This window comes from Homo sapiens, chromosome 6, assembly GCF_000001405.40.
Source record: "Homo sapiens chromosome 6, GRCh38.p14 Primary Assembly".
Classification (NCBI taxonomy): Eukaryota; Metazoa; Chordata; class Mammalia; order Primates; family Hominidae; genus Homo; species Homo sapiens.
Genome location: NC_000006.12, coordinates 129,830,301 through 129,844,041, shown reverse-complemented (window position 1 = coordinate 129,844,041; position 13,741 = coordinate 129,830,301). Strand labels below are relative to the sequence as shown.

The window sequence follows — 13,741 nt, the reverse complement described above, 5'->3', positions numbered from 1 at the left end:
AATTTATTCTAACTGCTACAGTAGCTCACTTAATGTTAAAAAATATGTTATAGCACCATTTAGGTGAACCTGTTTTACATCTGAAGAACTACTGGTTTGGTCATGAAGTGAGTTTACATTTCGTAACTAGACGTTGCCTTGTCCCTTGTTACCTTTATACCGTCTCACCTAATGACTGATCTGAAATTTTGCTGTAACTGTTACCACAACTTGTAATTCTAGCAAGAAGAGTGAGATGTTTGAGTCAGAAAAAGATTCTATAGAGATTATTATCTTCATTGCTGATTCCTTCACATTCCAGCCAGTTTTGAAATGTGCCACAATGTGGGTGAATCGCATAGCTTATCCTTGTATGAAAATAGTAACGTGTGTCACTTTGATGTGCTGTTATGAACTGCCTCATTCAGAGTAAACTGTTTTCACTTATAACATCTTTAGGGTGCATGAGTTGAATGTCCTGGCTCCATTTGATTTCAAAACAAATCCCTCATGGCTCAACATAAACTATAAAGGTAATTGTTTTAATTTTAAATTCTTATCAATTAGTGAACTAAATGCCACTAACCCCATAAATTTTTTAATAAAAAAATTTTAAATATCAGGCCTGTCTCGCAGTCATCTATGTATTTTATCTGATTTCAAAAATTAATTAGGAAAAGTGCCATCAAAAATTTTAAAGTTGTTATTCCATGCAGGTGGAGTAATATGGAATAAGTGGAGAAAAAGAATGAGAATTCCTATATAAATTTTCATTTCATTGTATTGGGGGTAAATTTTTGTTGATTATTTTTAAAGAAAAGGAAGAATAATGACTTAATGTGCTGATGTAGAAAAATATTTGTGAGATATAAAATAGAAAATTAAATACAGCAAAAGAGTTCATATAATACAATTTCATTTTTGTAGCATAAAATAAAATACATGGTGTCAGTGATAAGAAGTCTGGAGAATTATGCAACAAACTGTTATCTCCCATCTGGGATGACAGAGAACTTTCATTCTCTACTTTGTACATTTCTGCTTGGTTTTATTTTTCTTCCCAAAATAGTATAGAACTTGCTGCAGAAGAAAAACAATAAGAAAGAATACACTAAGGCAAAATTTCTCTCTTTTAAATTTGGCATTTTTGTTGAATAGTTATTAATTAATATCTAGTATGTTTGTAAACCTTCACACCTATGTACCTTGAATATATGTAAAACATTCTTGTTTGGGGGAGCTTCATGGTGAGTTTGCCCCATCTTCAGAAAAGTAAAATTTGAATGTTTTCTATCATAAAACATATTAATTAATGAAAGCTTAGAAAATATCTACAAGCAGAAAGGAGAAAAATAAAATAAATCGCATACTTACATTCTGTATACAGTAATTACTCTTAATATTTTGTTAAGTTTTTCCCTATTCTTGTTTTTTAATGTACTGTCAATTCCTTAAACAATACAATTCATTAGAAAAACCACTGGAGAATATTTTTGGGGTACAAATATGCAAATATAGAAAAATTGCTGGAGGCCAATGAAACAGGATTTCTACTATAATTTGTATAGGAAACTTGGTCAGTTAGAGTTACTGAATTCAAATAAAAAGCTTTAGTACAGCCTTGTTTGGTGCCATTATTGATTCAATTTTGGATAGCAAAGCATATGTGAGAACAAGATACTTCGATTCTGAGATACAAGAGGTCTAAGACTTTATCTTAACTTTCTTTCAGGCACTTCCCTAGTTTTTGCCAACACTATCCACAAATGATTAAAAAGAAAATAGTCCCAGTAAAGAGTCAAGTATGGGCCATGTGTGTGTTTTGGGTAGAGGGAGAGATTGAACACTCAACTGTCATTATTTAATTCTAGTCTTTGGGTCAGTCAATAAAGAAAGGGCAATATCACAGGCTTATGGGAGAAGGCTGTGTTTTTTCATAGCAGAGATTAGTGATGAACTTTTACATAGCAGGGATTAGCGAAGATCTCCAAAATGGCTGGCAGAGTTTACAGTCGTCCTTTCCTCTCATGAAACACAAACATTTGTACAAAGATATCAATAAAACCTTAGCGTATTAGATCTTTAATTTTGGGTTTGGGGAGATAAATGTCATAACTCTTCAAAGTTGTTGCTGTGAGAATCTATACCTGTCTAATCTCAGAGATATTAATAAAATATAAGAGTAACCTCAGAGACTTTGGCATGTATTTATTATGGTCAGGTTTTGTGTAGGTTTCAATAATTTTGTCACCCAGGAGATCAATTTTAGTAAGGACACTGGAAAGTGTGAGTCCAGTTAAAACACTCCAATTACTAATATCTTTCCTTTGCATCGCAGAGAATAGTTTGCAAATTCCTTTCATTTTACATTAAAATCCTCCCAACAATTTTTTTGAGATAAATAATACTCCATATTCCAATTTATGGAGAAGAAAACAGACTGACCTGAAAGTTAAAATCTTGCTCAACACCTTATAACTCTTTTTTATTATTATTATATTTTAAGTTCTAGGGTACATGGGCACAATGTGCAGGTTTGTTAAATAGGTATACCTGTGCCATGTTGGTTTGCTGCACCCATCAACTCGTCATTTACATTAGATATTTCTCCTAATGCTATCCACCCCCAGCCCCCCACCCCCCGACCGGACCCAGTGTGTGATGTTCCTCGCCCTGTGTCCAAGTGTTCTTTGTTTAACTCCCACCTATGAGTGAGAACATGTGGTGTTTGGTTTTCTGTTCTTGTGATAGTTTGCTTAGAATAATGGTTTCCAGCTTCATCCATGTCCCTACAAAGGACATGAACTCGTCCTTTTTTATGGATGCATAGAGTTCCATGGTGTATATGTGCCACATTTTCTTAATCCAGTCTATTATTGATGGACATTTGGGTTGGTTCCAAGTCTTTGCTATGTGAATAGTGCCACAGTAAACATATGTGTGCATGTGTCTATATCATAGAAAGATTTATAATTCTTTGGGTATATGCCCAGTAATGGGATTGGTGGGTCAAATGGTATTTCTAGTTCTAGATCCTTGAGGGATCGCCACACAGTCTTCCGCAATGGTTGAACTAGTTTACACTCCCACCAACAGTGTAAAAGTGTTCCTATTGCTCCACATCCTCTCCAGCATCTGTTGTTTCCTGACTTTTTAATGATCGCCATTCTAACTGGCATGAGATGGTATCTCATTGTGGTTTTGATTTGCATTTCTCTGATGACCAGTGATGATGAGCATTTGTTCATATGTCTGTTGGCGGCATAAACGTCTTCTTTTGAGAAGTGTCTCTTCATATACTTTGCCCATTTTTTGATGGGGTTGCTTTTTTCTTATAAATTTGTTTAAGTTCTTTGTAGATTCTGGATATTAGCCTTGTCAGATGGACAGATTGCAAAAATTTTCTCCCATTCTGTAGGTTGCCTGTTCACTCTGATGATAGTTTCTTTTGCTGTGCAGAAGCTCTTTAGTTTAATTAGATCCCATTTGTCTATTTCAGCTCTTGTTGCCATTGCTTTTGGGGTTTTAGTCATGAAGTCTTTGCCCATGACTATCTCCTAAATGATATTGCCTAGGTTTTCTTCTAGGGTTTTTATGGTGTTAGGTCTTACATTTAAGTCTTTATCCATCTTGAGTTAATTTTTGTTTATGGTGTAGGGAAGCCATCCAGTTTCAGTTTTCTGCATATGGCTAGCCAGTTTTCCCAGCACCATTTATTAAATAGGGAATCCTTTCCCCATTTCTTGTTTTTGTCAGGTTTGTCAAAGATCACATGGTTGTAGATGTGTGGTGTTATTCTTGAGGCCTCTGTTCTGTTCCATTGGTCTATATATCTGTTTTGGTATCAGTACCATGCTGTTTTGGTTACTGTAGCTGTGTAGCATAGTTTGAAGTCAGGTAGCGTGATGCCTCCAGCTTTGTTCTTTTTGCTTAGGATTGTCTTGGCTATGTGGGCTCTTTTTTGGTTCCATATGAACTTTAGAGTAGTTTTTTCCAATTCTGTGAAGAAAGTCATTGGTAGCTTGATGGGGATGGCATTGAATCTATAAATTACTTTGGGCAGTATGGCCATTTTCACGATACTGATTCTTCCTATTCATGAGCATGGAATGTTCTTCCATTTGTTTGTGTCCTCTTTTATTTCATTGAGCAGTGGTTTGTAGTTCTCCTTGAAGAGGTCCTTCACATTCCTTGTAAGTTAGATTCCTAGGTATTTTATTATCTTTGTAGCAATTGTGAATGGGAGTTCACTCATGTTTTGGCTCTCTGTTTGTCTATTATTTGTGTATAGGAATGCTTGTGATTTTTCCATGTTGATTTTGTATCCTGAGACTTTGCTGAAGTTGCTTATCAGCTTAAGGAGACTTTGGGCTGAGACAATGGGGTTTTCTAAATATACAATCATGTCATCTGCAAACAGAGATAATTTGACTTCCTCTTTTCCTAATTGAATACGCTTTATTTCTTTCTCTTGCCTGATTGCCCTGGCCAGAACTTCCAACATTATGTTGAATAGGAGTGCTGAGAGAGGGCATCCTTTTCTTGTGCCAGTTTTCAAAGGGAATGCTTCCAGTTTTTGCCCATTCAGTATGACATTGGCTGTGGGTTTGTCATAAATAGCTCTTTTTATTTTGAGACGCGTTCCATCAATACCTAGTTTATTGAGAGTTTTTAGCATGAAGGGCTATTGAATTTTGTTGAAGGCCTTTTCTGCATCTATTGAGACAATCATGTGGTTTTTGTCATTGGTTCTGTTTACATGATGGATTACGTTTATTGATTTGAATATGTTGAACCAGCCTTGCATCCCAGGGATGAAGCCAGCTTGTTCATGGTGGATAAACTTTTTTATGTGCTGCTGGATTCGGTTTGACAGTATTTTACTGAGGATTTTTGCGTTGATGTTCATCAGAAATATTGGCTTGAAGTTCTCCTTTTCTGTTGTGTCTCTACCAGGCTTTGGTATCAGGATGATGCTAGCCTCATGAAATGAGTTAGGGAGGATTCTCTCTTTTCTATTGATTGGAATACTTTCAGAAGGAATGGTACCAGCTCCTCTTTGTACCTCTGGTAGAATTTGGCTATGAATCCATCTGGTCATGGACTTTTTTTGGTTGATAGGCCATTAATTATTTCCTCTATTTCAGAACCTGTTATTGGTCTATTCAGAGATTCAGCTTCTTCCTGATTTAGTCTTGGGAGGGTGTATGTGTCCAGGAATTTATCCATTTCTTCTAGATTTTCTAGTTTATTTGCACAGAGGTGTTTATAATATTCTCTGATGGTAGTTTGTATTTCTGTGGGATCGGTGGTGATATCCCCCTTATCATTTTTTATTGCATCTATTTGATTCTTCTCTCTTTTCTTCTTTATTAGTCTTGCTAGTGGTCTATTTTGTTGATCTTCTCAAAAAACCAGCTCCTGGATTCACTGATTTTTTTGAAGGGTTTTTGTGTCTCCATCTCCTTCAGTTCTGCTCTGATCTTGGTTATTTCTTGCCTTCTGCTAGCTTTTGAATTTTTTTGCTCTTGCTTCTCTATTGTTAATTGTGATGTTAGGGTGTCAATTTTAGCTCTTTCCTGCTTTCTCTTGTGGGCATTTAGTGCTATAAATTTCCCTCTACATACTGCTTTAAATGTGTCCCAGAGATTCTGATACATTGTGTCTTTGTTCTCATTGGTTTCAAAGAACATCTTTATTTCTGCCTTCATTTTGTTATGTACCCAGTAGTCATTCAGGAGCAGGTTGTTCAGTTTCCATGTAGTTGTGAGGTTTTGAGTGAGTTTCTTAATCCTGAGTTCTAATTTGATTGCACTGTGATCTGAGAGATCAGTCTGAGAGACAGTTTGTTGTGATTTCTGTTCTTTTACATTTGCTGAGGAGTGTTTTACTACCAATTATGTGGTGAATTTTAGAGTAAGTGCGATGTGGTGCTGAGAAGAATGTATATTCCATTGATTTGGGGTGTAGAATTCGGTAGATGTCTATTAGGTCTGCCTGGTGCAGAGCTGAGTTCAAATCCTGGATATCCTTGTTAACCTTCTGTCTTGTTGATCTGTCTAATATTGACAGTGGGGTGTTAAAGTCTACCATTATTATTGTGTGGGAGTCTAAGTCTCTTTGTAGGTCCCTAAGGACTTGCTTTATTAATCCGAATGCTCCTATATTGTGTGCATATATATTTAGGATGGTTAGCTCTTCTTGTTGAATTGATCCCTTTAGCATTATGTAGTGGCCTTCTTTGTCTCTTTTGATCTTTGTTGGTTTAAAGTCTGTTGTATCAGAGACTAAGATTGTAACCCGCTTTTTTTGCTTTCCATTTGCTTGGTAGATCTTCCTCCATCCCTTTATTTTGAGCCTATGTGCGTCTTTGCACATGAGATGGGTCTCTTGAATACAGCACACTGATGGATCTTGACTCTTTATCCAATTTGCCAGTCTGTATATTTTAATTGGGGCATTTAGCCCATTTACATTTAAGGTTAATACTGTTATGTTTGAATTTAATCCTGTCATTATTATGTTAGCTGGTTATTTTGCCTGTTAATTGATGCAGTTTCTTCATAGCGTCTAAAGTCTTTACCATTTGGCATGTTTTTGCAGTGGCTAGTACCTGTTGTTCCTTTCCATGTTTAGTGCTTCCTTCAGTACCTCTTGTAAGGCAGGCCTGGTGGTGACAAAATCTCTCAGCATTTGCTTCTCTGTAAAGGATTTTAATTCTCCTTCACTTATGAAGCTTAGTTTGACTGGATATGAAATTCTGGGTTGAAAATTCTTTTCTTTAAGAATGTTGAATATTGGCCCCCACTCTTTTCTGGTTTGTAGGGTTTCTGCCAAGAGATCCACTGTTAGTCTGATGGGCTTCCCTTTGTGGGTAACCCAACCTTTCTCTCTGGCTGCCCTTAACATTTTTTCCCTCATTTCAACCTTGGCGAATCTGACAATTATATGTCTTCGAATTGCTCTTCTCGAAGAGTATCTTTGTGGTGTCTCTCTATTTTCTGAATTTGAATGTTGGCCTGCCTTGCTAGGTTAGGGAAGTTCTCCTGGATGATATCCTGAAGAGTGTTTTCTAACTTGGTTCCATTCTCCTATCACTTTCAGGTACACCCACCAAATGTATATTTGGTCTTTTCACACAGTCCTATATTTCTTGGAGGCTTTGTTCATTTCTTTTCACTCTTTTTTCTCTAATCTTGTCTTCTCACTTTATTTCATTAATTTGATCTTCAGTCACTGATATCCTTTCTTCCACTTGATGGAATTACCTATTAAAGCTTATGCATGCATCACAAAGTTCTCATTCCATGGTTTTCAGCTCCATCAGGTCATTTAACATCATCTCCACACTGTTTATTCTAGTTAGCCATTCATCTAATCTTTTTTCAAGGTTTTTAGCTTCCTTGCAATGGGTTAGAAGATGCTCCTTTATCTCAGAGAAGTTTGTTATTACCAAGTAGGTTTCTGAAGCCTACTTCTGTCAACTCGTCAAACTCATTCTCCACCCAGTTTTGTTCCCTCACTGGCGAGGAGCTGTGATCCTTTGGAGGAGAAGAGGTGCTCTGTTTTTTAAAATTTTCAGCTTTTCTTCTCTGGTTTCTCCCCATCTTTGTGGTTTTATCTACCTTTGGTCTTTGATGTTGGTGACCTACAGATGGGGTTTTGAGGTGGATGTCCTTTTTGTTGATCTTGTTGCTATTTTTTTCTGTTTGTTAGTTTTCCCTCTAACAGTCAGACCCCTCAGCTGCAGATCTGTTGGGGTTTGCTGGAGGTCCACTCCAGACCCTGTTTGCCTAGGTATCACCAGTGGAGGCTGCAGAACAGCAAATATTGCTGCCTGATCCTTCCTCTGGAAGCTTCGTCCCAGAGGGGCACCTGCCTGTTTGAGGTGTCTGTCGGCCCCTACTGGGAGGTGTTTCCCAGTCAGGCTACACGGGGGTCAGGGACTCATTTGAGGAGGCAGTCTGTCTGTTCTCGGAGCTCGAATGCCATGCTGAGAGAACAACTGCTCTCTTCAGAGCTGTCAGACGGGACGTTTAAATCTGCAGAAGCTGACTGCTGCCTTTTGTTCTACTATGCCCTACCCCAAGAGGTAGAATCTATAGAGGCAGTAGGCCTTGCTGAGCTGTGGTGTGCTCCACCCAGTTCGTGCTTCCAGGCCTCTTTGTTTACACTGTGAGCTACTCAAGCCTCAGCAATGCAGACGCCCATCTCCACATCAAGATGCAGCGTCGCAGGTCTATCTCAGACTGCTGCACTAGCAGTGAGCAAGGCTCCGTGGGTGTGGGACCTGCCGAACCAGGCATGGGAGGGTATCTCCTGGTCTGACGGTTGCTAAGACTATGGGAATAGTGCAGTATTTTGTCAGGAGTGCACTGTTTCTCCACATACAGTCTGTCATGGCTTCCCTTAGCTAGGAAAGGGAAATCGCCCCACCCCTTGTGCTTCCCGGGTGAGGCAACACCCTGCCCTGCTTCAGCTTGCCCTCCATGGGCTGCACCCACTGTCCAACCAGTCCCAATGAGATGAACCAGGTACCTTAATTGGAAATGCAGAAATCACCCATCTTCTGCGTCGATCTCACTGGGAGCTGCAAACCAGAGCTGTTCCTATTCAGCCATCTTGGAAGTGACTCCATAACTCTTTTTTTTTTTTTTTAAGAGACAGAGATTCACTCTGTCACCCAGTCTCGAGTGCAGTGCAGTGGCATGATCATAGCTCATTGTAACTTCAAACTCCTGCACTCAAGAGATCCTCCCATCTCCACCTCCTGAGTAGCTAGGACTATGGAGCACACTATTATGCCAGGCTAAGTTTTTTTCAATTTCTTTTAGAGACAGAGTCTTGCTATATTGCCCAGTGTGGCCTTGAACTCCTAGCTTCAAGTGATGCTCCCACCTCGGCCTCCCAAAGTGCTGGAATTACAGGTGTGAACCACAGTGCCCAGACAAGGTCTTATGACTGTTATGCTGTAAAAGCGAGACTAGAATGCTGTTATCTTGACTTCAAATTTTGTATTACTTCCTTTAAGTCATGCTTTCTTTCCTATCATGAACAAAGCATAAGTATTCTCTATTAATATACATGAATGCAGCTTGTACAAGACTAAAATCACTATCTCCAAGCAGCTGCAAGTTAACCTATAAAATCTCTAAATGCTAACAAAAGAGGCATCTCTGTTTCCCTACAATAATGTCGTGATTCTGTAAACCAGTAGGGGAGGGAGGAATGAGATGTGATGGAAAGAGATGGTGTCAATATGACACAACAGGACAGTTCTTTCCTGGATATTAGGTGGCAGGGCATGCTGAACTGATCTCCACTGATCAAAGGAATTCCTGTGCAATAGAAAAGGAGTTAGTATGAATTCTGTATTTAACTTTTGAAACGTGTTAAGTTAAATTAAATAGAATTGAAGAGGAATATGTGTGAGGCCTTTAAAAAGATTGCACCTGGGGCATGCTTCCTTGGTGTCTCGCTTACCGACTGCAATCACTGGCTTGCTGGATAATAAATTACTTCTGCACAGTAGGACATAAGGTGATTATTTTATTTTTTGCTTTGAAAAATATAGAGTTTGCTTAGATTTATTTATTCCTGAATTATATGAACATATCACTTATTTTCTGTGTTTTAAGAGGAAAGAAAGGTAATTTTTATGGAAAGTGGTATCATTTACAAAGGGACCTTGGTGGTATATCACATATATTTGTCACTTTAAAGTCTGATGGATCTCTCTTTTGAAAACATGCTAGTCTTAAAGATCCATATCAAAGACAAGAGGCAAAAGATTGACCCATCACGTGTTCAGGGCTCTTAGAGATTTGTGGTTCTCACCTGTAAATATCTAGCTCTTTATACGTGTTCAGGTAAACTACTCTGTCACTACCAGTGGATTTAGAAGGGTGTCTCCATCCATACCTGTCATTTATGAGACTTTCTTTCATCCATGGTTATCAGTTATGTTTCCCAAGTGACGATCTGAACGAACCATTTTATTACAAAAACACAAAGGAACTCATTTCCAAGTTAGGCAGTGCTTGGTATCAGACAAACGTTGTAGTTCAATAAACTCTTACATTTGGTTTAATTTTTTTTCATTTCTTAAAACTCAGAACTGGATTTTTTCATTAGTTTTTAATATATCTTAAAATGAGATTTGCAATCCAATTACAGATTTGCACATATTGGTTATATTGTAACACTTCTTTATTGTATTTCACTTCTAAAATGTTAAACACAAAGAATGTGAAACAGAAATGATATATTGTGGTTTTCTATAAATCTTAAAATTGTTAAAAGATAAAATATGTTAATTGTTTTATCCAAATTTGAGGATTGTTAGGAAATGGAACATTTAAAAAATTCTTACCAAAATTTATTCTCAAAGTAAGCTTTCCTGGTCTTGTTACTAGTTGTATTTCAGAATGTTCATTGCTCTAGTCCTCAATAATTATATTCTTCCTTGTATTTGCAGTTCTTTTAGTTTCAACAGAGGTCACCTACTTTGTTTGTGGATTGTTTTTTGTTCCAGTTGTGGAAGAATGGGTTTGGGATTATGCTATTTCAGTCACTATTCTTCATGTTGCCATCACTTCAACTGGTAAGCAGAATAAAATAACAGAAACAAGGAAAATGTATTAAAACAGATGTTGGACATAAACCACTTCCTGAGTAGAACTTTGTTGTCTGCATATTCTTGTATGATAGCTAGATGATAAAAACTGAAGATGAAAGGTCTTCATCCCTCTTTCCAGCCAAATTTTTTTGTACCACTCTTCTCAGGGAGGTTTTTTTAACTTTTTTAAAAGCGTTTTATTTTGAAATAATTTTAGAGTTACAGAAAAGTTACAAAAATATAACTGAGAGTTCCCATGTACCCTTCACTCAGCTTCCCCTAATGTTAGCATTTCATATAACCATAGCACAATTTTCAAAACTAATAAATTAACATTGGTATAATACTATTATTAGCTAAACTTTATTTGTATTACCCTGGTTTTCCCTGCATCATTTTTCTTTTTCAACATCCAATCTGATTCAGAACTAAACTGAAATAGAGATGCTTCCCTTTCACATTCAACTTATCACCAACTGGGCAAGGTTTGCCCTGTAAGACATATTTTTCCTCCAAAATCCTTCCCTGAGGGCAGAAACTGTCAAAGACTCGGGGGATGCACGGACGCCTATCCAACAATAGTTATTTTAAAATAAATACCAGTTCTTAGATTAAGTGGTTTTTATTTCTACCTGTGATTTTTGGAGCCAGAAGAAAACAGATACAAATTCCAGTCCTACCTTTTACTAGGTGGGTAGTTGTGGACAAGTCACATCTCTTACATTAGTTTCCTTCTCTACAAAATGGGGGAAACCTGATGAGGTTTCAATTAGATAATGAGAAATTGTCCGACATGTGTCTAGCAGATAATAATTACTCAGTAAATGAATATTTCATCCATTTGTTCACCTATCCACTCAAAATGTACTCATCCGCCGTATTTTCTCCCTTACTATACCGCCTAATTTTTTTTTAAAGCATGTCAGTCAAAATATGAGTGATAACCAACCACAGGTTATAATTCAAAGTTTATTATTATTTATGACTGTCATATAAATCACTGTCATATTTTCAGTGCCCTGATCTATTGATAGTATAATCTGTCTCCGCCAGGTGCCGTGGCTCACGCCTGTAATCCCAGCACTCTGGGAGGCTGAGGTGGGCAGATCACCTGAGGTCAGGAGTTGAAGACCAGCCTGGCAAATGTGGTGAAACCCCATCTCTACTAAAAATACAAAAATTAGCCAGGCATGCTGGTGGGCACCTGTAATCCCAGCTACTTGGGAGGCTGAGGCAGGGAGAATGCTTGAACCCAGGAGGCAGAGGTTGCAGTAAGCCGAGATCACACCATTGCACTCCAACCTGGGCAACAGAGCAAGACTCTGTCTCAGAAAAAAAAAAAAAAAAAAAAGTACAATCTGTCTCCAACTGAAGAACACACAATTTCCAAATGAACTACAACTTCCTAGCTTCGCTGCTATTAGAGAATGCCTGTATATTCATCACCTAGTATCAGTTTCCACAGACACAAACCCTCCCTCAGTAACTCAAACAATCACTGGACACCCCGCCCCCAACACTCTGCTTCTGAAGTGCTCTATTTTACTTTGGGGCTTAATTTTTTCTGCAAGACAGCCACTGATATTTGCAAAAGGGCTTGGAGTATAGCTGGTTCAATCCTCAGGGTTGAAATGAGCTATAGGTTCTGGACCTAGAAAAGTTATGAGTTAATGATCTAACATGTGGCACTTAGAAAATGTTAACAAATGACTACTGGACAGAAGTGACTTCAGAGTGAAGTGGTTTGGAATTCCTGAGGGAACTAGGCATTGAGGATTCAGGACGGCCCGAGGATCATCACTTAAAATCAACTTTGGGAGCTGATCTGAGAACCTCACAATTCATAGCATTATTTCTAGGAGAAGAGTTGTAAAGGTTTGACTTAACAAATGACCTTTTAGACCAGGACTGAAGTACAACTTGGGGCTACCTGATTTCATGAACATGGATAAACCTTCTCTTGTTGAGTGGATATAATTTGACCAAACAGACGTATTTCTTCTTGAGCAAAATATAAAAACGCATGTTTTGAAATTAAACATTTTTTTTCTATTGCAGTTATGTTGGAATTCCCCTTGACATCACATTGGTGGGCTGCTTTAGGTATATCAAAATTGCTTGTTTAGATTCTCTAATGCACAGAAATAATGTTAAATAGAATAACTGTGGAAATATATTTTATTTTCTCATAGATTTTACAATTATTGTCTTTCTAAGATAATAATAATATCTAAGATAATTAAAAAACACACAGTTTTACTGAAGATGGACTCCACTGGTTGCCTCTTTTGGCCCAAATATACTCTCAGGCCAACCCCGATACCATCCATGGGAGAGAAGCTGCCATCTTAACATGTATTTAGAAACAAAAATACATCCGGTAAATACAAATATAAGAAGTATAGTGGCTGAGTGCGGTGGCTCATGCTTGTAATCCCAGCACTTTGGGAGGCCAAGGCGGGCAGATCACTTGATGTCAGGAGTTCGAGACCAGCCTAGTCAACATGGTGAAACTCCATGTCTACTAAAAATACAAAAATTAGCCATGGCATGGTCGTGGGCAACTGTAATCCCAGCTACTCAGGAGGCTGAGGCAGGAGAATTGCTTGAACCTGGGAGGTGGAGGTTGCATTGAGTCGAGATCGCACCCCTGCACTCCAGCCTGGCAGAGACAGAGCAGACTCCATCTCAAAAACAAAACAAAACAAACAAACAAAAAGTATAGCATACTCTACTTCTCCTTTTGGTAAAATTTGAGCTTATAGAGGAATGACAGATGTTGATGTCAATAATAAAGGAGCCAGAGTGAAAGTCAGTAAAGACTGTATATTCTGGCAAAGTCTTCAACAAGCCATGGATTTTCTTAGCTTGCCTCCAAGACTGATCTGTACCGGTTTTTTCTCCCTTTCTTCCCCTCTCATTTTTCCATTATAGTAGGAAATAAGGACTGAGTTTCCATGAGGAGCGAAACTAGAGCAGATAGATATAACTTTCTTTAAAAAGTGTTTTTTTTTTTTTGCACTTTTAATGGAATCTACATACACACTTGATTATATTCCCACGGGTGCATCAAAGATTCTACTGTAAAAACAGGCCAACTGGGTAGACTCAGAAATAGTATGAGTTACAGGTACACAAAAGAAC

The 13,741-nt window shown here is 37.9% G+C and overlaps 1 protein-coding gene across 1 annotated transcript in view; it reads left to right on the top strand.

Annotated features, from left to right (window-relative positions):
* The window catches only part of TMEM244 (transmembrane protein 244), a 30,072-nt gene extending 17,274 nt beyond the window's left edge, over positions 1-12,798 (top strand). The window contains exons 3-5 of the mRNA NM_001010876.2: positions 439-512; positions 10,457-10,582; positions 12,656-12,798. Coding sequence (NP_001010876.1) covers positions 439-512; positions 10,457-10,582; positions 12,656-12,723 — 268 coding nt within the window. The 3' untranslated portion in view covers positions 12,724-12,798. The remainder of the gene's footprint in view (positions 1-438; positions 513-10,456; positions 10,583-12,655) is intronic.
* The last annotated feature ends 943 nt before the right edge of the window (positions 12,799-13,741 follow it).